This window comes from Homo sapiens, chromosome 20 (assembly GCF_000001405.40).
Source record: "Homo sapiens chromosome 20, GRCh38.p14 Primary Assembly".
Lineage (NCBI taxonomy): Eukaryota > Metazoa > Chordata > Mammalia > Primates > Hominidae > Homo > Homo sapiens.
Genome location: NC_000020.11, coordinates 13,790,660 through 13,815,030, shown reverse-complemented (window position 1 = coordinate 13,815,030; position 24,371 = coordinate 13,790,660). Strand labels below are relative to the sequence as shown.

At 40.1% G+C, this 24,371-nt stretch overlaps 1 protein-coding gene across 21 annotated transcripts in view; it reads right to left on the bottom strand.

Annotated features, from left to right (window-relative positions):
* NDUFAF5 (NADH:ubiquinone oxidoreductase complex assembly factor 5) overlaps positions 1 to 24,371 on the bottom strand; it is a 36,553-nt gene that overhangs the window by 6,550 nt on the left and 5,632 nt on the right. For 4 of the 21 annotated variants that reach the window (NM_001352407.2, NM_024120.5, XM_047440469.1 and 1 more), the window contains exons 4-8: positions 21,804 to 21,851; positions 20,090 to 20,193; positions 16,531 to 16,570; positions 13,348 to 13,545; positions 6,129 to 6,189 (exon numbers count right to left, since the gene is read on the bottom strand). In NM_001352407.2, coding sequence (NP_001339336.1) covers positions 6,129 to 6,189; positions 13,348 to 13,503 — 217 coding nt within the window. In that variant the 5' untranslated portion in view covers positions 13,504 to 13,545; positions 16,531 to 16,570; positions 20,090 to 20,193; positions 21,804 to 21,851. Of the gene's footprint in view, positions 1 to 515; positions 614 to 6,128; positions 6,190 to 11,614; positions 11,882 to 13,157; positions 13,214 to 13,347; positions 13,546 to 16,530; positions 16,571 to 20,089; positions 20,194 to 21,803; positions 21,872 to 24,371 lie in introns of those variants that run through there. The other 17 variants (NR_147981.2, NR_029377.2, XR_937140.3 and 14 more) reach the window with 12 other exon arrangements.

Here is a 24,371-nt window from a genome sequence, read left to right as displayed (position 1 = left end):
GCATAACACTCTCTGAAGGTCTGACCTACATCAGCCATACAGAAATTCAAGAGCACTACTGCAGAGCACAGGGCGTAACTGTGCAGCACTCCAGCCTTCCCTCACAAGCCACTCACACTGCCACACTGAAACTCCCTTCTTGCAGAAGCAGTGTGAGGGTGGTGGAAAGAATCTGGACTTTGGGATCACACTCCCAGTTTTAACTCTTATATAACCTGGGGCAAAGTCATTCAACCTCTATCGAATTCCAGTTTTGCCATCTACAAAAGAGTAACACCTCCTAATGCATCATGGGGGACCTCTACTGAAGACCACCTGGGAAAAACTGAAACTTTGGGACTTCCGACTCGCCCTGGGCTTTGAGATAACAGAAAAATCTGGCTAGTAGGTTAACTGTTTAAGACTCTCACAGTGTTTTTAAGGTGAAGTTCAACTGCTTATCAAAAATAAACCTAATTTATTACAGTTTACTAAAAACAATACTGAGTATTGTTTAAAAAAATAACTGAACTTACCTTAAGACCACTGTGAAAGCCTTGAAAATTTCTCATGCATTCATCAGCTGATATGCAGCTTGTTTTGTAAAATTAGGTCAACATTCTGGACTTTTGTTCTGTGAATTAATAATAGCAGCTTAAATGAGACACACCACAACCATTAAGAAAAAAAATACACCACAAATGTAAAATCCCAGAAACAAATTTGGAAGTAACATGATCTTCTAGTCAGCAGAATGGCACACCTGAAAGTCTCCCACGGTCTCCCTGCCTCCATCATCCCCTGACTATGCTTCTTCCCATCTCATCTGCCTCTGACTTTTTCCAAGGCAGAATGGCTAAGATTTCAGCATACAAATCAGGCTGTTCGACTAGGTTTAAATCCTGGCTCTACCACTCACTAATTACAACATCTGGGACAAGTTACTTAACTTCTGCCTGGGTTTCCTCACACATTAAAAAAAAACAAACAAACAGATTAACCATGTTAGCTCTAGTCTTCCCTTCCTCATAAACTATGCCTCATAAACAATGCTGGAAGGTGAGCTTTCTAACACACACAAATGTATCTCATTTTCTCTCCTCTATGCAAAATTCTTCCAAGACATTACAACGCTAATCTGAAAAAAATCTAGAAGCCTCTGATCCTATTCATTTCCCATCATCTCCCCGTTCTATATACTCAAGGAATACTGGATTATGGTACCATTCCTTAATCAGGAGAGTGAAGGATGTGCATATCCTATTCTACCTCCATGTGGATGCAATGTTAGCTCCCCTAAACCTCAACCCACCTTTCATTCTCCGGGCAAACTCATTTTCGTTTAGGTGCTGCCTCTTTTGCAAAAGCATTCCTGACCCCCTAAGCAGATTTAGGGCCTTTTCCTCCTGTGTTTCTCCTTGTACTTTATTATAAATGATTTCATTTTACAGTTGAATGTAGGAGTCTGTCTCTATCTTTGCGTTCTTCTTCCCTAGTACAACATAAGCTCCCTGAGATCAGGAACTACGTATTTCCACCACTGGCTCCGTGGTTGGCACATGGGTAGATGCTCAATAAACGCTAAGTGAAGGTATATAAAACCAACCTGTTAATGATTATATCTATTTTGTTAAATATCATTTTATAAGTGTAAATAATTTCTCTTAATATTCCTAAGGATAAGATGTATCAAAAACTAAGACATCTGATTTCTGTAACAGACATTACAGTTAAGAAAAAGCAGCATTACGAAAGCATCTGAAAGTATTAGGCCATAGTTTCTGAAAATATACGGTCTATTTAAAACCTTTAGGAGACTCACACCTGTAATCCCAGCACTTTGGGAGGCCAAGGTGGGTGGATCACCTGAGGTCAGGAGTTCAAGACCAGCCTGGCCAACATGGTGAAACCCTGTCTCTACTAAAAATACAAAAATTAGCCAGGTGTGGTGGCACATGCCTGTAATCTCAGCTACTAGGGAGGCTGAAGCAGGAGAATTACTTGAACCCAGGAGGCAGAGGTTGCAGTGAGCCAAGATTGTGCCACTGCACTCTAGCCTAGGCGACAGAGTGAGACTCCATCTGAAAAACAAACAAACAAGAAACCTTTAGGAAAAGAGGGGGTTATCAATTTGGAAGGAGCACAAGGCTACCTTCTGGGAGACTGAAAATGTTCAATATTTTGTTCAGGATGGTGGTTAAAATACAAGCAGCTGTACCTTTAAGATTAATACATTTCGCTGAATATACATGTTAACCTGAATTTAAAGAATCACATACATATCAAATATGCAGTACAGGACTCTGAATTCAAATTGTAACTACAGATTCAGTGTGACCATGGACAAGATACTTAACTTCTCGATGCCTCAATTTGCTCACCGGTAAAATTAGGGTATTAGAAAAACCTCAGAGAATTGCACTAAGCACAGAGTTAAGTGCTGCTCATATGTTGAAATCAGTGGGAAGTAACTTTTTCCAACAGAGAGGTCTAATTTCTAGTATGTTTCTCTTTTCTTTCTTGAAATGAATCATGAACACAGATTCTACAGCAGAACAAAAATAAATGCTGTATTTGAATAACATTTTTATTATTAGAGCCCGAGTGATATATCATCAGCCCACCATCATCTCTCAAGCCTTTGGATAAAGTGGCTCCTTGATTACATCAGGTAAGTCCTTGGGGTATGCTGGGGAAGGGGTGTGTGTGACTTATTACTGATCCTCTGTTATCTTGGCCATGCATGCTACAGGCTGCCAATCCCTCTATTAATGAATGAAAACTGATGACAATGGTAAGATTTCAGCTACGCATCTTTCCGTTTGCAGAGTGACAGAAGCTCCACACTCAGAGGAGGCTGCACGATAGGTCAAATGAACCTTGTTACAGATGGGCAACACAAGAAGGAACAGGGTCAGTTCAGACAGTGCCAGGGCAGAGCCAAGAAGCATGAGTTTGGCAGCTAATTCTGCCACTTGACAGGTAACTGTTCTCTTTGGCCCTAATTATTCTCACTCGTAACTTAAGCAAGCAAGAACAACAATGCTCACAAAAGACTATAAATCTGTAAGTAAAGACTAGATACTTATTTGTATAATCCTCTTTCTTTAAATCATCTTACAATTTTTCAGGATCCAGATGAAGGCTCCCCTAGGTAAGTGTAGTTCTGGATTCACAGAACATACCTTTAACCCCTCTTGCTTCCCCCATTCATCGAAATGATTTTTGATGTCAGTCTATATATATAAAAGAACCACCTCACAAATTCCCACAAAGGACGCAAGTTGAAGCTCTCTTTTAAGGAAACTGCTTCTCCAGCATCCCTTTCAAGTAATAGTTTATTTTTGCATATATTTTGCATATCTAACCTCTTTCAGAGTTTGATCTGTATCCTTCTTACTCCTTGAAGCCTCTTCCAAGCCATTACTTCCCTACCCTATTAAACACCTTCACCCTGCTGAGGCCCCACACCAGAAGGCTGTTAGCTCCTCCTAACTCCTGCTTGCTGTCTGACATCAGGCTAGTCACTCCCCTCATTCACTGAAAGGTTTGGCACTTGGCTCAGTTTTCCTCTACACTCCAGTACTGCCACCATCCTGGGTGACTTCATGTTAATAATCAGCAAGTTAAGATTTTAAAATCTCATCTCTAATCAACCACTCCATCACACCACCTCTGCCTTGATACCTGAGACACGTCCCAGACCATTATCACTTGTAACTGCTTTACTTCCAAAATCATCAAACATCTCATTTTCTGACCATACCCTCCTGTCCCTCCAGTGTGTTCAGGAACTTCAACCGTGACCATCCCTGACCACACTGGAACCACCTGTGCTCAGCTCCTCTTTTTCCTCCCAATTTATCAGCTCACTCTTTCTTGTTCCCACTTCCCTTTTCTTCCAGCTAAGATTCTTTAACCTATTATCTCAATTATACTCCTAGAATTATCTTTTACCTTTGTCTTTTTGTCACTTTTAACTAGCAAACCCCCAACCCAAACTAATTCAACTATCCGATTTTCGTGCCTGGTCCTGAGCTGCCACCTCCTGTTGATGGTCAGTTCACCTTCTCATTCCCTATAATGACTATTTCAAACGGTTCCATTCACTTCTCAAAACTCTGACCCTTTCATTCTTAGCATATATTACTTCCAGTTTGACAAAAAAAATAGACCCACAAGATGGGAACTTCTTGTTTTCAAACATAAACACCTACATCCTTTGGTGCTACCTCTTCTCCCTTCCTGCTATAACTTTGCCTCTCCCCTTACCAAGGTCAACCCCTCCACTGGCCTTTGTATTGCACCCTTCCCACCTTCTCAGACACCTGTCATCATCAATTATCTTTTCTCTCTCTTCTAGAGTCACCTCTTCTAGGAAAGCACTTAGATTCTTCTAGTCAGCAATTAAATAAATTCAAGTCTTAGAAAAAAAAAAACAACCTCATCTCAACTTCTATTCCTCTCCTCTCTTCTGACACCTGTAACCTTTCCATCCTTCACCTCTTCTTCACCACCAGACTTCTTGAAAGAACAGCACATATCTGCTATCTCCAGTTCCTCACTTTCCACTTACTCCTCAACCTACTCCTCTTCTACTCTCCTCACTCTAACAAAAGAGCTCTCACCAGGGTCACCAATAACCTTCTTGTTCCTAAATCTAGCGGACTTCCTTTTCAGTTCATAGTTTGCTTTTAACGCTGCTAAGTGCTCCCTTTGTTTTGAAACATTCTTTCTTTCCTTTGGTTCAGGCAATTCTACACTTTTCTGGTGTTTTTCTGGAACACCTTGCTGGCTACTCCTTCTCAGTCTCTTTGTAGGCTCAGACGTCGACTACCCACCTGCTAAAGCCTCAGTACCAAGCCACTTTGTCTGCTCACTCCATGTTCTTATCCTAGGCAAACGCTTTGAATGCCACCTATTCACAACTGACTCCCAACTTTTTAACCAAGCCAGTAGCTTCCTCTGAGCTACCTACCCACATACTCAACTGCCTACTTGACATAACCTCTTAGGTATTTCAAAAGCACTTCAAACCCAATGTATCCAAATGTAAACTCAAGGGCTGTACCTGCCCACACCTGGTATTCTTCTATTGTTTCTTCTATCAATGAAGGACACCATCTCTCTATGTGAGCTAGAAACTCAGCAATTAAGCTTCAAATGTCTTTCTCCTTCATCTGCCCACAGCCAATCCACCAGCAGGAACTGCAAAATTTATCTCCTAAACATCTCTGGGATGAATCTGCTTCTCTTCATCTCCATTGCCACCACCTTAGTACAAACTACCATCATCTCTCAGCAAGCTATACTGAAATTAATCTCGTGACTAGTTTATCTGCCAATCTACTCTTTTCAAAATCCAAGTCTGATACTGTTACCTCTCTAAGATGCCTCAAGGGGCATTTTAAGATAAGGGCAAACAATTTTAACAAGGCCTATAAAGTACTTCTGCATTTGATCTGTGACTCACGTTGACCCACCAAGGTCATCACTTAACTCTCTCCTTCTTACTCCCTGAACACCAGCCAAAATGCCCTTCTTTCAGTTCTTGCTATGTTCATTCTCACAGGAGGGCCTTTGCATATGCTGTTCTCCTTGCCTCAGATTCACTTGCCTACTCTGTCTACCCAGTTAATTCATCTCCATTTTTTTTTAGAGCACAGCTCAATTGCTACTTCCTCAGATAACACTTCTTTTTGAGTCTCCCAGACTGGGACATTTCCCCCTGACAAAACCCTACTTCTAAACCAACTCAACTACCTTCATTCCTGTATCTCAGCTGCCAAGTGTGGCTGAAGGAAGTCACCAATGTGTTCCATCATCCTCAAGTGCACCCTTCAAAAAAAAGTCCCGCCATCTTTTTACAAACAGCCGTAGCACTATATGCCTCTACTTCATAGCACTGACCATAATTCTAATTTAACACTTATCTCTGTGACAGCTGCCTGGTGCCTGCCTCCTCCATTTTATATCAGAAGCTCCATGAAGACAGTCTGCTTTCTCCTCAACAATGGATCCCTAGTGCTTTGCCCAGTGCCTGCCAAAGAGCTGGCTCTCAAAATGTTTCTCTCAAATGGAGTCTAAAAATTCTTTTTTTTTGGCCTACCTTTCCCAATGGAGTCTAAAAATTCTTTAAAGTGCCTTACCTTGTAAATCTTCCATCAATTCAAACATTCCAGGATAGTTAACTTGAATTTCATCAGTGTCCTATTTAAAAAGAAAAAGAAATATTCATTTGACATTCATGATACAAAATTCCAGATTTAAAAAAGAGGCCGCAGAGACTACCCAGACCAATCTCCCATGCTAAGCAAAAAATATTTACAATATTCTTCATAGATGTCATCTGGCTTATGTTTGATTTATGAAAGTCTCTAATTGCTGATTAAATATCCTGCATTGTGAGAGAAATCATCCTAAAACTCCATCATTGGTTCTAGTTCTCTCTTTGGGAACCACACAGAATAAGAGTATTCTGTACCCTACAAACCATTGCCCTCTCCTCCAAGTCTTTGAAAACCTTCAGGACACAAAAATCTGGAGATCCTTACATGTTCTGACTACATGTCCCTGGACAGTGTCAATATCAATCTTTCTTAAAATGGGGCACCTAGAATCAAAATATTTCATTCTATATCTAGTAATGCAGCCAATAGGCTTGTTTAGGAAATGAGCACATTGCTGATACATGTGGAGTTTGTTTCTCAAATGAACAATTGGGTAATGACTTCCTCTTCTTTTTGAAGCCTGATACAGGACTTAACTGTTGGTACAGTGGCAGAGACCACTGATGCTCCCCAAATATCCAGGTGCTCCTTGACACTTCCCAATCTCAAACACATATTTCTTTTGGCCAAAGAAAGGAGGGGCAAGACAGTTAAGAGCTAGAGCCTTTTCCAGGCCATCTCTTTTGCTGTGGTGATCTTATAGAACACAGGGCCAGATTATAGAACACAGGGCCAGATGGCACAGCTACAAGATGGAGATGGGCTGTCCCACCAGCACGCAGCTGTGATGTGATAAAACTTTATTGTGTTAGGCACTAAAAGTAGGGGTTTATTCTTATTGGAAACTAGCCTAAAATAATTTTTTTTTTTTTTAAGACGGATTCTTGCTGTGTTGCCCAGGCTGGAATGCAGTGGTGTGATCTCTGCTCGTTGCAGCCTCTGCCTCCTGAACTCAAGCGATTCTTGTGCCTCAGCCTCCCGAGTAGCTGGGATTACAGGCGCCTGCCACCGTGCCCAGCTAATTTTTTTTTTTTGTATTTTTAGTAGAGACGGGCTTTCACCGTGTTAGCCAGGCTGGTCTCGATCTCCTAACCTTGTGATCCACCAGCCTCAGCCTCCCAAAGTGCTGGGATTCCAAGTGTGGGCCATGGCGCCTGGCTGGAAACTAGCCTAAAATAAATCTAAACATCATTAATAGAGGACTGGTTAAACAAATTAAAGAATATGTATTCTATAAAATACTGTACAGTTCTCAAAAAATAAGGTAGATACATGTCTATAGGAAAAAAATCTCCAAGACATGTTATTGACTGGAAAAAAAAAAGCAAAAGAGTGCATGTAATATTATATAAGTAAGTTTAAATGACATAAGTGTATTCTATGGGTCTATAAAAAAAAGTGGATCTGAAACGATGTCTAAGACACAGCTAACAAATCTTTGGGGAAAGGGACCAGGGTTTGAGAAGTCAGGAGGAGGGACAGGCACGATGGCTCATGCCTGTAATCCCAGCACTTTGGGAGGCCGAGGCAGGCAGATCATGAGGTCAGGAGATCGAGACCATTCTGGCTAACATGGTGAAACCCCATCTCTACTAAAAATACAAAAAATTAGCCAGGCATGGTGGTTGGTGCCTGTAGTCCCAGCTACTTGGGAGCCTGAGGCAGCATAATCGCTTGAACCCGGGAGGCAGAGGTTGCAGTGAGCCGAGATCACGCCACGGCACTCCAACCTGGGTGAAAGAGCAAGACTCCATCTCAAAAAAAAAAAAAAAAATTGCTGGGTGTGATGGCACATGCCCTTGGTCCCAGCTATTTGGGAGGCAGAGGCATGAGAATCCCTTGAACCTGGGAGGCAGAGGTTGCAGTAAGCGGAGATCTCGCCACTGCACTCTAGCCTGGGCAACAGAGGGAGAAGTCAGGAAGAGGAGACTTCGTTTCACTTTACACCCCACTGTATCACTCTCTCTATATATACCTTACTCTTCTTTAAAAAAACATATACGTGTATCAGGTTGTGTATGCTTTTTAATGAGACCTCTAGGTAGTGAGACCATGAACATTCATCATCCATATACTTTTCCATATTAACAAGCTGTTTTTAAGAGGAGATCCTAAGATTAAAAACAAAATTCTTTCCAGGCTGTTATCTAGCCATTAAGCAATATCCTTTGAAAACAATTCTTCAGTGCAACCAACTAAAAGCACTATCTCCACTTCAATCAAAAGAATGCCACAACAGCTTTGTTGAAGGCCTTATTTAAATTAAAAGGGGACCATATCTGCACCATTTTTTTTATTTTATTTTTGAGACGGAGTCTCACTTTGCCACCCAGCGCCCAGGCTGGAGTGCAGTGGTGCGATCTCGGCTCACTGCAACCTCCGCCTCCCAGGTTCAAGCTATTCTACTGCCTCAGCCTCCCAAGTAGCTGGGACTACAGGCCATGTGCCACCACGCCCAGCTAATTTTTTTGTATTTTCAGCAGAGACGGGGTTTCACTGTGTTAGTCAAGATGGTCTTGATCTCCTGACCTTGTGATCTGCCTGCCTTGGCCTCCCAAAGTGTTAGGATTAGAGGCGTGAGCCACCGTGCCAGGCCTTGCACCATTCTCTTAAAGTACTAGTCTGGTAGTTCAGTTCTAAAACGGAAATCAGCTTTACTTAGAATGCTCATTCTCTGAAAATAATTCATTAAGATGAAAATACATTAAGATGTAAATACATCTATATGATACTAATCTGACTCGATTTCACTTTAAAAATAAAAATCCATTGTAGCGTAAAAGTAATATATCTAATGTATGCAACATAAACCTGTATAGCTGATTATACAAAAGCTTTTTTGGATGGGAATTTTTAGAAAATGAATTAGAACACATATTATTATTATTTTTTTTGGAGACAGGATCTTGCTCTGTCACACAGGCTGGAGTGCAGTGGTGAGATCATGGCTCACTGCAGCCTCAACGTCCCAGGCTCAATCCTTCCAACTCAGCCTCCCGAGTAGCTGGGACTACAGGCAGGCCCAGCTATTTAAAAAAATTTTTTTTTAGAGATGAGGACTCCCTATGTTGCCCAGGCTGGTCTTGAAATCCCAGGCTGAAGTGATTCTCTGACCTAGGCCTCCCAAAGTGCTGAGATTATGGGAGTGAACAACTGTGCCTGGCCAGGACGCAATATTAATACAGCACCTCAGAAACAAAACTGTATACATGCCTCACAGGATAAATGTAATGATTCAAGAAGACATTCTCATAACTTTCTTATTAAATCAGCAACTTTCTAATTGTATAAACTAAAGAAGATTCTACACCAATATTTTTATATTATATTAAAGTATGAGTCATTAGGCTCATTTTTAGAGAATATGGATAGTATTCTGAATTATATTTCCCAATTAATAGAAATGTAGGCTTTTAAACATTTTAACATCAGGTTAAACATTTTTAGTAGAAATCTTTCTAAAACTCATTCTTTATAACCACAGAAAACCATGTGTAGTTCACATAATTTAACTTTCTTCTGGTGATTAGCAGAAATCCCATTTTTTTCGTAATGGGCAATAACTTTTGAGTCCTGTAATATTGCTGACTAACCTGTATGACCTCGTATAAATTTTTTAACATCACCTCATGAAAATGTGCACTACACATCGCCACACCATCCCAGCCCTACACCTCCTATACTTTTTAGAGGCTTTACATTCCCGGAGATTCTTTTTTCATCTCAATGATAGGTTGGTGACACAGCAATATAGGAGACGATTCTCAAGAGGGTAGACTGTAAAGGAAATTTTTTCCATATTATAAGTAAAATAAATATTATCAAAAAGGCTTTAAATCACTGGTTCCTAATCTATTTTTAGTTATATTAGCTCTCTCAAGATCTGATGAAAACCATGGGTACTTTCCTCCATTTATGAACACCACCACCACAAATTTTGTGTACAACATCCCAGTATTATTGAACGGTCTAAAGTTTACCAACAGGCCTGCTATAAACCCAAAAACACCACGCAGGGATTTCTGTTTTGTTCACTGCTATATTTGAAGTACCTAGGATAGTACCAGACACACAGAAGGTACTCAGTAAATGTTTGTTGCAAGACTGAATACATAAATGAATTTGTATAGAAGGATATTCACTGCAGCATTGCTACTATTGGCAAAAAATCAGAACAAACCTAAAGGTCATTCACAGGTAAATAGTTAAGTAAAACTGTGGTACATTCATACTAGGAAATAATATGCGGAAATTAAGGAGTGCAAATATATCCATACCAATTTAGAAAACTATTAACAGTATATTGGAAATACATATACTGTTAATAAAAAAAGTTTCAGAAATGTGTGAATACATATGACTGTCTATATAAAGTAGTCCTTGTTAAAAAAAAAAAAGTCTGGAAGGTTACACACTAAAGTGATAATAGTAGCTACCTCTAGGACAGTAGTTCTCCAAGTGTGGTTTGGAGAGTCCTGGGGTCCCTAGGACTTTTTTGGGGGTCCACAAAGTCAAAATTATTTTCATAATAATACCAAGATACTATTTGGCTTTTTACCTCTTATTCTACGATGGGTTATTTTAGAGGAGACATGACATGACACATGGTGTAACAAGAAACTTGAATGCAGAAACAGACATGAGAATCTAGCTCTGTTACTAAGGTGCACATTAACTGGCAAAAATGTGAAGCAATGTCATTCTTCCCTTTCAATTATTTTTGTTTTAGAAAATATGGCCAGACGCAGCGGCTCATGCCTGTAATCCCAGCACTTTGGGAGGCTGAGGTGGGCGGATCACTTGAGGTCAAGAGTTCGAGACCAGACTGGCCAACATGGTGAAACCCCATCTCTACTAAAAATACAAAAATTAATGGGGCGTGGTGGCACGTGCCTGTAATCCCAGCTGCTCGGGAGGCTGAGGCAGGGGAATCACTTGAACCTGGGAGGGAGAGATTGTGGTGGGCCAAGACCGTGCCATTGCACTTCAGCCTGGGTGGCAGAGTGAAACTGTCCCCCCCCCAAAAAAAAAATTAAAAGAAAATATAGTTATTTTTTATTAAAAAGGGTCATTTATGTTAACAAGTAATAGGTATATTATTGTTAGCTTTAAATGAATACGAAAACAAATTCAGTTTTAATGTCTAATATAGTGAATACTGACAGATGTTAATTCACTATACAAAAAGCCCTTTAAAAGTTTCTTCATTACTTTTCAGTGTGTAGTGGGGTCCTGAGACCAAAATTTTGAGAACTCTTACTCTCAAGAGAGAGCTAAGCATTTTTAGGATTAAGGGGGAATGACAGACTTTCGCTTTATCTGTATAGCTTAATAGTTACAACCAAAATATATTTGTGTTACTTATACAATTACAAATATAAATACAATGATCCTTCAGTGTACAATTGCCTGTATTAATAGTGTTTATTTTCATTACAAAGTAGAGCACTCATGTGAAGCGGTTTTCCGCTTTCTAGCCGAGCAACCTCTCAGGATGCAGTTTCTATGGACTCAGGCCATTTAAAAGTTAACAAAAGATCAACACTAGTCACAGGTGTGAAGCCTCCGGGGTTCTCTTCAGTTCCCAGCCTAGTCCTCCAGCCTGTTAATTCTTCCCTCCCTGGAGGCTCCTTTCCAACATCAGGGGCCCTGCTTGCCCATGCCCCTTGCTTCTATAAAAACAAGGAAGGATATGACACAATCTATTTTTGGTTGGTTGATTTCATGAATATATTCACACAAAATCATGCCAAACAGCTATTTTAGCGTTTAAGCTTATCATCTCTAATTATGTAGCAAGATGCTTTCTTCATCAAGAAATTCCTATTTCCACTAATCAGGTTTAGGGATGTTTCTAGGCCTGAGGGGTTTGGAAATTCATATTAAGTCTACTGGACTGATCTCTGAAGAGAGTAATGACATCCTTTAGAAAGACTGTTAGTGGAGGGAGGAAGAAGAGGGCAATCATTCTCTCCAGATGGCTGTCTCTTGGAAGCCTAGTTCTAGAAAAATGCTGGGAGTAGAGTGATGGGGAAAGAGGAAGGCAGGAGCTAATGTAAGCTGAGCATCTACCATGGTCCTGGTACTTCACACCCTTTATCTCTTTAAAGGGTGAGGTGAGTAACATTTGCTTTTTTTTTTTTTTTTTTTGAGACGGGAATTTCACTCTTGTTGCCCAGGCTGGAGTGCAATGGCGTGATCTCAGCTCACTGCAACCTCCGCCTCCCGGGTTCAAGCAATTCTCCTGCCTCAGCCTCCAGAGTAGCTGGGATTACAGGCATGCATCACCACAATTCGCTGATTTTTTGTATTTTTAGTAGAGACGGGGTTTCACTACGTTGGCCAAGTTGGTTTCAAACTCCTGATCTCAGATGATCCACTTGCCTCGGCCTCCCAAAGTGCTGGGATTACAGGCGTGAGCCACCGCACCCAGCCACACATTTGCATTTTTAAAAGAAATAAATGCTCAAAAAGGTAAGTTACTCAAATTTCCCTATCTAGTAAAGAAATAGGGTAAGGATCCAAGTTACTCCTGTCGGAGAACAAAGTCCTACTGTCCTACCCCGTCACCGTACCATGCTGACTTCATGCTTATTACTCACTGATTGCCCATGGGTCTTCTTTCGAGATTTCTCTAGCCCTAATGGAGTACAGCACCCTGTCCTACCTTCTTTAGCCTTGATCTCACCCTAGGCCTTGAGAACACACATTCTCTCATTTCTGCTTCATATGGCACTGTTTGGGGGTAGTTATTGGTGGTAATATTACAGGTTCCCCTACTTATCCCCTTTTCTTCCTATCATCTGGAATACTCTAAGGCCCTTTTTACACCTAATACTAGATTTGAAGATTCTAATGGAGTTGTATGTTTAGAAATTTGTCTTGTTAACTATGATACATTTTTTGAGCTACTTTTTAAGGTAACAGTAAAAAATTATACATTCCTACCTTGTGTCAATTAAGATGTGTTATACAAACTAAACATTGTCAATCAGAGCTTTTCCCTTAAAAAGAGAAAAAAAAAGGGAGAGAAAGAGTGCCATGAAACCATGAACACATACAGTTTTCTATCTTTAAAATGATAAGAAGTTCTTTTTTGAACTGTGTAAGTTATGGGTTAATCGAACTTGATAGTTACCACAGTCAGAGTATTAAAGCCAGCTCTCCCAAGCAGATGTCCCAGGTCATTGACAGCAGTGAAAGGAGAAATGTGTGGAGAAAATCCTCCTTCCCTTTCCGTTTCCGCTAACTGTAAGGAACACCGAAGTTCATAGAGTGTGTCGCCTCCAAACATTGCACCGATAAACACTCCATCTGGTTTTAAAATATAATGAATCTGTAATAAATACAAGAAAACAAAATGATTCAAATTTTTATATATATAAATGTTAAAAAATAAATATATAGTGTCTAAATTAACATTTTATGACAACCACTTTTATTCTGCCAAATTAATAATCACATAATTTAACAAATAACATCTAATGCAACCAACTGTCAGAAAATCATGATGCATAATATACTTGGAAAGACAACTATACATTCACTAATATTAATGCCTATAAAAATATGTTGTATGTTTTCAAGTTTTCTAATAGGTATACAACTTAGTTTTATAATCAGAAAAATGCTGAAAGAGAAAAAAAAATTTAATTGGGGTAGGCTGCAAAAATCACAAACCTCCCTGCATCTATGGCCTCTGAAACGTCGTTTTCTAACAACTTTCATCAAGATAGGGAGTCTATTTCCCCTCCCCTTGAATCTTGGCTGGCCTTGTGACTCGCTTTGGCCAAAAGAATGCAGTGGAAGTGACAGTGTGCCAGTTCCACGTCTAGGTCTCAAATGTGTTGCATGCTTCCACCTGCTCTCTTGGAGCCCAGCCCAGCCACGATGTGTGAACAAGCCTGAGCTAGCCTAGAGGAGGAGGAGAGATGTAGGGCAGAGATCAGCCAGCTGTGTGCACCGAGGCCCTCCAAACCAGCTAGCTCCCAGACGATCTGGCAGCTGATCACAGACACACAGATGAGCCAAGCCAGACCCAGATTTCCTAACCAAATCCAGCCCCAACTGCCAACCCACAAAATCATGGGCTACATAGTTGTTGTTTTAAGCCATCAAGTTGGGGTGCCTTATTATGCAGAAAAAGCTACAGAGAAATCATTATGATTCACAGCATTAACCTAGTAACATATTACCTTTCGTTAAAGAGAAGTAATCAATTTATTTTCCAGCTTTAAAACAAAACCAATTTCTAATTAGTAACTTAAGGAAAATAATGGCCAGAGAGAATTCCAGAATCACAGATTTTGCTCACTCTCAGACTACAAGCTGTAACTAGTTTGATTGACTATTCTCAGCAATGAGGACCATTACAGGAAAAGGTAGATTCTGAAGTAAACCAGAATCCAAATCACAGTAGGCTCTTCTAATAAAAGTACTGTCTTAAATTTATATTTAATATGTCATGAAGCAATTAAAAGCAGTATTAAGTAAATAATTTGTAAAAGCTTTGGTTCCTTCCCTTCTTCACCTTTAGTGTTGCTTCCTCCTCCTGTCATCAAACTCTACTAAACCAAATACCTAAGACTTAGTTCTCAGAATTCTGCAGCTCCCCGCTCTCCCTCAGACAGCTTATCAACTTCCATGATTTCACAATGACCACTTTCCAATCCCTAACTTCAGCTTGGCCATCTTCTCAGAAGTCCAAAGTCATCTTCAACTGCCTATTCCCTGGACATTTGTCTCTCAGCATACTCACCGTCCCTGCTCCCTCCAACCCCTACAAGGAAAACATCTATTTATCAAATCAATTCCCCTTTCCAACTGCCATATTTCTATTGCCATTTTCTATTCCCTTTATCTGATCATTAACATTCTTTCCCCTACTTTTACTAATCCAGACTCAAAAACTTCAAAGTGAGTTTTGCCTCCTCCCTTTGATCTTCAGATCTAATCAGTCACCAAACTGTTGATTCTTTCCTTGTAGAGTCCTAAATACTCTTCCTTTTAACTCCTACCATTACCACCTAGGTTTAGTTTATCTCATTCTTGGACCACTGAAACAGTCTCCCTTCAATTTAACGAACTGCTCCAGGCATCAGTTTCTTTCTTTTTTTTTTTTTTGAGACAGAGTCTCACTCTGTCGTCTAGGCTGGAGTGCAATGGCGTGATCTCAGCTCACTGCAACCTCTGCCTCCCGTGTTCAAGAGAATCTCCTGCCTCAGCATCCCAAGTAGCTGGGATTACAAGCACCTGCCACCACACCTGGCTAATTTTTGTATTTTTAGTAGAGGCGGGGTTTCACCATGTTGGCCAGGCTGGTCTCGAACTCCTAACCTCAGGTGATGCAACCACCTCAGCCTCCCAAAGTACTGGGATTACAGGCATGAGCCACCACGCCCAGCCGAGGCATCAGTTTCTAATCAGCAAAATAAATACATCTCGCAGAGCTATTTAACACAAATATAAAACAGAGCACAGTAACGGGAAACTGGAAAATCATACGTGTTCAGATATGGCCATTATTATTTTGCCCACCAGCTTTATAATGATGTCATTTTCCTCTTCAAAATGCTCCAGTGGCTCTGAATTGCATAAACTCCAAATTCCTCAACCTGACACTCAAATCCTCCTAAATACTGTCCCAATACATCACACCTCACTTCCCAGCACTATACTAGTCCTCCAAACAGGTTTCCTTTTTGTTCCTTAATGCTGATGAAGCTCTTGTGCCTCTCCACCTATCCTGTGATTCTGCCTTCTTAGAATGCCTTCCCAATCCAAACTTTACCTACCCTCTAAGGCCCTGCTCAAGTACTTTCCTCTTGAAGCTTTTCTAGGCCATGTCAAGCCACAGGGATCTTGTTCTCTCCTTTGAACACATACTTTTTACCTGCCTCTCACCTGTCTATTGATACGTGTCAATCGATAAAAACTTACCTAGCACTCTCTGAGTATAAGGCATGGAGAAAATACAAATATAAATAAGTAGGTTCCTACTTGCAAAAAGTTTATGGGCAACTAAGGGTAAGAAGAAATCTACATAGAGAATGTCTTATGATTTCAATATTATTTTGCACAGTTCCTAAGCTTTTCATAAATATTTAAAACTTATCTCTACAATTAGATTTCTTAAATTCTCAGGGAAAGGAGAGTTGCCCAATGTACTACTAATATGCCAAATGGCACCAGATGATTTCACCGATTTCTTTCCCAACTGTCAGACCTACAAGTAAATAGTATGTGAAAATAGAAACATCTGTAGATTTCTAACAATAAAGAAAATAACACAAGATAGTTGAATGAACATAAGTTTTCTTACCTGCTCAAGTGCTCTAGGAAGGTCATTCACCCAATGCAAACTAAAATATGAGAATACAGATTTGTTTTAGCTTAACTGGCACAATTAATTAGTAAAATTATCACCAGGTTAATGATAACCCATAAAAAGGTGTTAATTTTGAAGTTTAAAACTGCATATCCAAATCCACTGATCGTTTTCATACAGGTTTTAAAATTATAAATATTCCTAGAGGAAAACCTGCCTTGTGTCACACCAGAAAATTCCCCATGTCAATATATCACTTTGCGTAACTGAAAGAATCTGATATGATTATTTTCTAATTATTCATCACTGAATTATGTAAAAGTCATTCCTACTTAGGCATTTTATCTAAACGGTGCTATTCTGAGACCTTATTTGCAAAAAGTAGTAAAAATGCTCAAAGAAGCTCATCAGTTAAATCAATTAAGCTACAGAAATATAGTATTATTCTAAGTCAGACTTTCTTAGAAAAAAATTATCTGCAGATCTAAATTTTTTCAAGGCAAACAGTGTAACTCATCAAAAGTTTGAATCTGTGAGTTTTCCAATAATATCCCATTTTTTAAAAAATCAATTTTTAAGACTTTATTTTTAATTATTTTTGGAGCAGTTTTAGGTTTACAGCAAAATTAAGAGGAAAACCCAGAGATTTTTTTACATACTCCTATTCCCACACATGCACAGCCTCCCCCATTATCAATATCTCCAGAGTGTATATTTGTTACAACTGATGAAGCTATACTGATAAGTGATTATCCCCCAAGTCCATAGTTTACATTAAGGTTCACTTTTGGTGTTGTATATTCTAAGGGTTTGGATAAACGTGTAATGTCATATATCCAATATTATAATAGTATCATAGAGTAGCTTTACTGCCCTAAAAATCCTCTGTGCTCCACCTATTCATCCTTCCCCTACACAACCCCTGGCAATCACCAATCTTTTTCACTGTCTCCAGAGTTTGCTTTTTCCAGATTGTCACAGTTGGAATTACACACTATGTAGCCTTTTCAGATTAGCTTCTGTCATTCAGTAATACGCATTTAAGTTTCCTCCAAATATTTTAATGGCTTGACAGTTTCTTTTTAGTGCTGAATAATATTCTGTTGTTTGGATACAACAAAGTTTATCCATTCACCTACTGAAGGACATCTTGGCTGCTTCCAAATTTTGGCAATTATGAATAAGGCTACTATAAACATTTGTGTGCAGGTTTTTGCGTGGACGTAAGTTTTCATCTCCTTTGGGTAAACACCAAGGAGCATGCAATCGCTGGATCGTACGCTAAGAGTATGTTTAGTTTTGTAGGAAACAACCAACCTATCTTGCAAAGTGCCTGTACCATTTCGCATTCCCACCAATAATGAACTCCACATCCTTGTCGCATTTAGTGTTGTCAGTGTCCTGGATTTTGGCCATTCTAGTAGGTGTGTGGTACATCCATTTTTTAAGGTGATAAAAACAAACAAAAACCAGAGCTGTATACACTGAAACTTAATCTCTTAAATTTTTTCCTTTTTTGAGACAGAGTCTTGCTGTTGCCCAGGCTGGAGTGCAGTGGCGCGATCTTGGCTCACTGCAACCTCTGCCTCCCAGGTTCAAGTAATTCTCATGCCTCAGCCTCTCGAGCAGCTGGAATTACAGGCATGCGCCATGACATGCAGCTAATTTTTGTATTTTTAGTAAAGACAGGGTTTCACCACGTAGCCCAGGTTGGTCTTGAACTCCTGGCCTCAAGTGATCTGCCTGCCTCGGCCTCCCAAAGGGCTGGGATTATAGGCGTGAGCCACCGTGCCCGGGCCTTGAATTTTCTTTTGACCCTACTCTCACCTAGAGTGTAGTCATGCGTGACAGCGAAAGTCATATTCCCAGTCTCCTTAGAGTACGGTCACACTTTTCTGGTATAACTGCCTCCCCTTATGCTGAGTTCCAGGACAGAACTGAATGTCCATTTCAAACCATACTGTGTTAAGCTCATGTTTATCTTTCCTAATGCTTTTCGACAAGTATTAGATACTTTAAAAACTAAGGAGCTCATACTATAAACTCTATCATACTTATGGGAAAACAGAAAGCAACAGAATTAGTCACCTGCAAATAGCAAGCAGATGAGCTAACATAAAAACTCAGGTTCTGACTCCCTGCCCAGGGTTCTTTATAGACCAAGGCTCTGCATATTTTTCATTTCATGACAGAATGTGAGTAGTTTTCTAACTTTGTTCAGCACATCTAAAAAACCAGGGAAGGAATTACACACTCACGAAAGAAAACATCAAGGGTGACCAGCTTTCCCAGAACATAAGACTTTCAGGCCAAAAGTGGCAAAGTCCTGGGCACACCTTGATGACTGGTCACCCTAAAAACAGCTATCGAAAGAGTTGAACTGGACGTGGAGAGCCTGCTGAACTTCTGAAAGAAAATCTATTTGACTATAAGACAGGAGAAAGAAGATACCACAAAGATATTTTTTCTGTTAGACTGAGTTATTTGAGGACAGGATCCCTAATTCATTTTTGTATTCACCCAAAAATCTGGCTCAGTGCCTTGTATCCTATAACCTATTTGATATATACTTGCATTACATGTTTGTGTAACATATGTGGAGGAAGATAGTAGAAAACATAAAGGGAAAAGAGTAATCTTGAGAACTACATTCTGGTACAGAATTATTATTATTTTGAGACAGGGTCTTGCTTTGTCACCCACGCTAGAGTGCAGTGGCATGATCATGGCTCACTGCAGCCTCAACTTACCAGGCTCAAGTGATCCTCCTGCCTCAGCCTCCCAAGTAGCTGGGACTACAGGCATGCGCCACCTTGCCCAGCTAATTTTTTAATTTTTTGTAGAGATGGCATTTCATTATGTTGCCCAGGCTGGTCTCGAACTCCTGGGTTCAAGCAGTCCTGTTACTGCAGCCTCCCAAAGTGTTGGGATTGCTGGTGAGAGCCACTGTACCTGGCCAGAAGAATTAAGGCTAAAGGAAAACTAGCTGTCCTAGTTTGAGTTTGTCCAGAATGAGTTTGTCCAGAATTTGTCCAGAATGAGTTATGATTGTTGGGAGCAGGAGTTTGAAAGAATATATTCTATGCTCTCTGGTGGAGATAATATGATATAGTGCCTCAACTTTTTTTTCCCCCAACTTGCTAAACTCATCTGTGATAGAAGGGTTTTCTCCCCAATGTAACTTATTATTTTGGAATTGCTCTAACATTTGAATACAGGAGCCAATATGCTCTTTCAAACTCCTGCTCCCAACAAGAGCAATTCCAAAATATTAAGATGCACTGGGGAGAAAAACCTTCTATCACAGATGAACTTTAGGAAGTTCATGCATGCCACCACGCCCAGCTACCTTTTTTGTATTTTTAGTAAAGACAGGGTTTCAACATGTTGGCAAGGCTGGTTTCAAACTCCTGACCTCAAGAGATTCACTCGCCTCGGCCTCCCAAAGTGCTAGCATTACAGGCGTGAGCCACCGCTCCTGGCCTCATAGCAAAACTTTATGGCAAGAATGATCTGTTTATAACATATGGTTTTTAAAAAGTGGATTACCAACCTTAAACTGCTAACCACCAGGTCAAATGTATTTTCTTTGAAGGGAAGGAATTCTTCATCAGCTAAAACGCTGACAGTAGGTATTTCTGTTTCTGAGGAATTTTTCTAATGTTAAGAAAACGAAAGATCAAAATCACATTTATGTAGAATCTCAATTACTAACACAATCACTGTTTGTTAAATTGAAGTCAATGTTATATTTACTTGGCAGTTTCTACCCCCCTTCCCAAAGGTGGCACAGAGAAGGCACCCAAAAAGCATTTCTTAAATGACTTAACATCAGCCAGAAAAAATGGCTAACTAGTTGAAACAACATAAACAGGATACCAACCTCACACCAAAACAAATCTCAGAAAGCTAGTTTGGCTGGGCGTGGTGGCTCACGCCTATAATCCCTGCACTTTGGGATGCCAAGGTGGGCAGTCACTGAAAGTCAGGAGTTCGAGACCAGCCTGGCCAACATGGTGAAACCACGTCTCTACTAAAAATACAAAAATTAGCTGGACGTGGTGGCACGCACCTGTAATCTCAGCTACTCGGGAGGCTGAGGCAGGAGTATCGCTTGAACCCGGGAGGCGGAGGTTGCAGTGAGCTGAGATCGCACCACTGCACTCCAGCCTGGACAACAGTGCAAGACTGTCTCAGAAAAAAAAAAAGAAAAAAGAAGGCTGAAAGTTTTAGTGAAACAACCGAAGTACTAGATGAAAATATGGGTGGACTGGACATTTTACCCTTAGATGAAAAAGCCTAGGTAAACATAATTCAAAAGCCAGAAACTGTAAAGGAAAAGACTGATATATTTGATGATAAACTAATTAAAAACTTCTATTAATAGAAATCAATAAACAATGTAAACAACTGAGGAAAATATTTACAACATATACAATGAAGGATTAATATCCCTAAAAACCAAGCTCTTACAAATCACCTAGAATAAAAACACAAGATAGCTAAAGAGGACAAGGTGCAGGCATATCACAAAATTATTTACAAAATTCACAAGAAATACCAATAGTCAAAAGATATCAGCAGCTGTCAGACTGACCCAGACGAAAAGGCTGGCCCAGTGTTGCCAAAGCAAAGTAGTAAAAAGTACCTTTGTCATTGTTCAGTCTTTCTAAGGGCAGTCTGAAGATGTATGTCAAAAAATTTTTAAATGAACATCAAAATGAATCCATAAATTCCGCTACCAGGAATTTATACCCACGGAAAAAAATAAATCAAACATACAATGTGGCTTCACATAAGGATTTTCACTGCAGTGTTGGTTATTGAGAAACTAGAAACGTAACTGCCCTTCAATAGAAAGTTTAGCTAAATAAACTATGGAGTATTCATATATTAGAATACCATGTAGCCATTTAAAAAGATGATATATGACACACATAAGTATAAATTCACTGACAAAAAAAATGATGTGCCGTAAATAACATGGAATATTAGCATAGTAATGTTCATACACAGTTGTGTGTTGGGGGGGCGGGGACAGTTATATGTCTGCAAATGTGGAGACCAAGTGCCACCAATGGTTGCCTCTGAATGGTAGGACTAGGGGTGATAGGGGTGATTTTTCCTTTGTTCTTGATATTTCCTGTATGAGTTCCTTTTCATGTGTCAGAAAAGAAAGCTAGTTTGAAGGAAATAAAAATAAAGAAATAAAATATGAGAAAACACATCACGAGATTAGAAACCAACAGTATTAAAAAGCTACCTACCAAAGCATTTTCTGCAATGTCAGCTTGGAAAAACTTTCCAATAGTTTCCTGCAATGGAATAACTGAAGCTGAAACAAACAAATCCAGTCACAAACAATTGCTGACATTTCTAAAGGTAAAAGTGTTAATTACATTTTAATTTTCAGCTTTGTAAAGGTATATTTCTGCATAAAACCAGTATGGTACACAAATACTTTTAATAACACATATCCTTTGCTATATTTAACTATATGTAATAAAATAGAGAACATGAGTATGCGTATTCAACATTCCGAATTTACTACACTGGGTGAGGGCTTCCGTGTTAACTTTTCCATGGCATAACATGCTAAGAGCTATTTCCCCACTCCTGTGTCACAAAGGACCTGCTATGAGTTTCCCGCCTTTTAGTTGTTCATCCAAAGAGTTTACAGAGTAAAGAAAGACTTACAGGTAGAGGCTTAGGGTTCCATTTTCCCTGTTTCGCCTACCCTCTCTCCCTTCCAAAAGGAAAGGAGACTGTGCTATTTCTGCACCAGAAAAACACTTTCTTTCCCCCTCAGCCCTCTTTTCTCCGGGATCCTGCTCTCTCCATCTCCATCTCTATCAATCTTTAGTCTGTGTCTTCTGTGTCTCCTTCCTCCACCTTACAACAGGCACAAGCTTTCCAATTACAAAAAATCTCCTCCCTCTAGGTACCTTCTGGTTGTTTGGTTTATAATCCACAACTCTACTTCTTCCTAGATTCTTTCTCCCCATTCTGGGTATCTCTTTGCTTTCACTGCTCTGCTAACACTATCTGCAGTCTGTGCTCACTGCTCTCAGTCCTGCTTCACCTGACCTCTTTGAAGCACAGCATTGTCAACAGCCTACTAGAAGCTTCTTCAGAAGCTTCTACTCTGGCTGCCCTTCTCTATTAGAGAAGCCAATCCTTTTTTACTTTACCCACACCCACTTCCCTGTCTGAAACTTGGAAAGATTTCATGCTACCAACATGATGTTGCTAAATATGGAGCTGGGAAGAGTGCTCAATAGCTCTCATGAGCCAGCTCCAGCACACTCCTGTGAGGGGTGAAGAATTAGATGGACAGGATTATCTATCCCTGTCTCTCACTTGAAAATTTGAACTAAGAGACTTCGAGATAATAGCAGAGGTCCCTGGAGTTGGAAGAACATTTAGACTTCAGGGTATAGGCAGTGGTGTGCTGGCTCTTGGTTGGGGACTGCTTTGTAGCATTTGCCAACTTCCATGGTATAAATATTCCCACCAGGGCTGATGTCAAGCTATCAATATGATGTCACAGAACAGAGGTTGGGAAGAGATGCTAACAATTGGCTCTCACAGGCTGGCCTAAGCTAGCTTCAGCTACCCTTGGGTGTAGCATATTCATATGGGGCCACACACACTGATGAACACTACTATGGATAGACTACAGGGAGTAAAAAGAATGAAGGCAACCAGACAGCATTCATGTAGTACCAGAGTGCATGCGAACAGGAGGAACATTGTTATGGTGTTTCAAAGTTCCCATCTCTTGTGAGGCCTGGCTCTATTTCTGGATCCCTGAGTTACATAAGAGCCTCTCTGTAACAAATGTCTCTGTGTTTAAACTGGCTTCAGCACATTTTTGCTTTCAACAATCAAAAGATACCTTACTAAGACACTTTCCATCTTACTATTCCTGGCATCTTTATTGGCTCTTCCTCTTTCTCCCAACCCTAAGTACAATTGCAGAAGGTTCTTTTCTATATTCTTGCCTCAGAGAGTTTACCTATTTCTACGGCTTCAATTGTCACTTCTGAAAGGGACTTCCAAATAAGAACTATAGCCTCCTTTGACAGGTTTACTTTGCCTCACTTAATCCCCTTACCAACCTTTTGAGATGGGTATTATTGATCATATTTTATAGAAACTGAGGTCTAGAGCAATTGATTGGCCCAAGGTCTGAGTATACACAGACAGTGGCAGAGCTGAAGTTTGAAGCCCTGACTTCAAGTCAATGCTCTTAACCTCAATATCCCAATTCCAGTTCCACATTTCCAACTACCTGCCAGCTATTTATACTACCATATTCCACTGCCATCTCAAACTCAACATATCTAAAACAGGAATGATCCCGTGCTCCTTGCCACATCACATCCCCTGAATTTTCCAGTCACAAAAGGTGTAACTTAAACTCTAAAGTTATCTTGCAATAGTCATTTAATAAATACTCATTGTGATTTAGGTACTAGGATTTAGTAGTGATCAAAAATGAGCAAATCCAGTAAGAGAAGAAAGACACCAAATAAACATACATCAGGAGCTTGTAAGTGCTATGGAAGCAAATAAAGCAACTAGTCGGCAGAAAGCAGGGGCACTATTTTCTAAAGCAGTCACGGGAGGAATCTTTGATGAAGTCAGCTGAGTAAAGATCTGACAGGTGAGCAACTAAGACACACAGATACCTTGGGGAAGAGCATAGAGCAAAGCTCTGGCCTGTTTGAGAGACTGCAAGGAGGCCAGGGTTGCTGAAAAGTTGGGAGTGAAAGGAAGAAGATGGGATCAGAGACATGATAAAAAAACAGAATCCTGAGGGTCTTATAGAT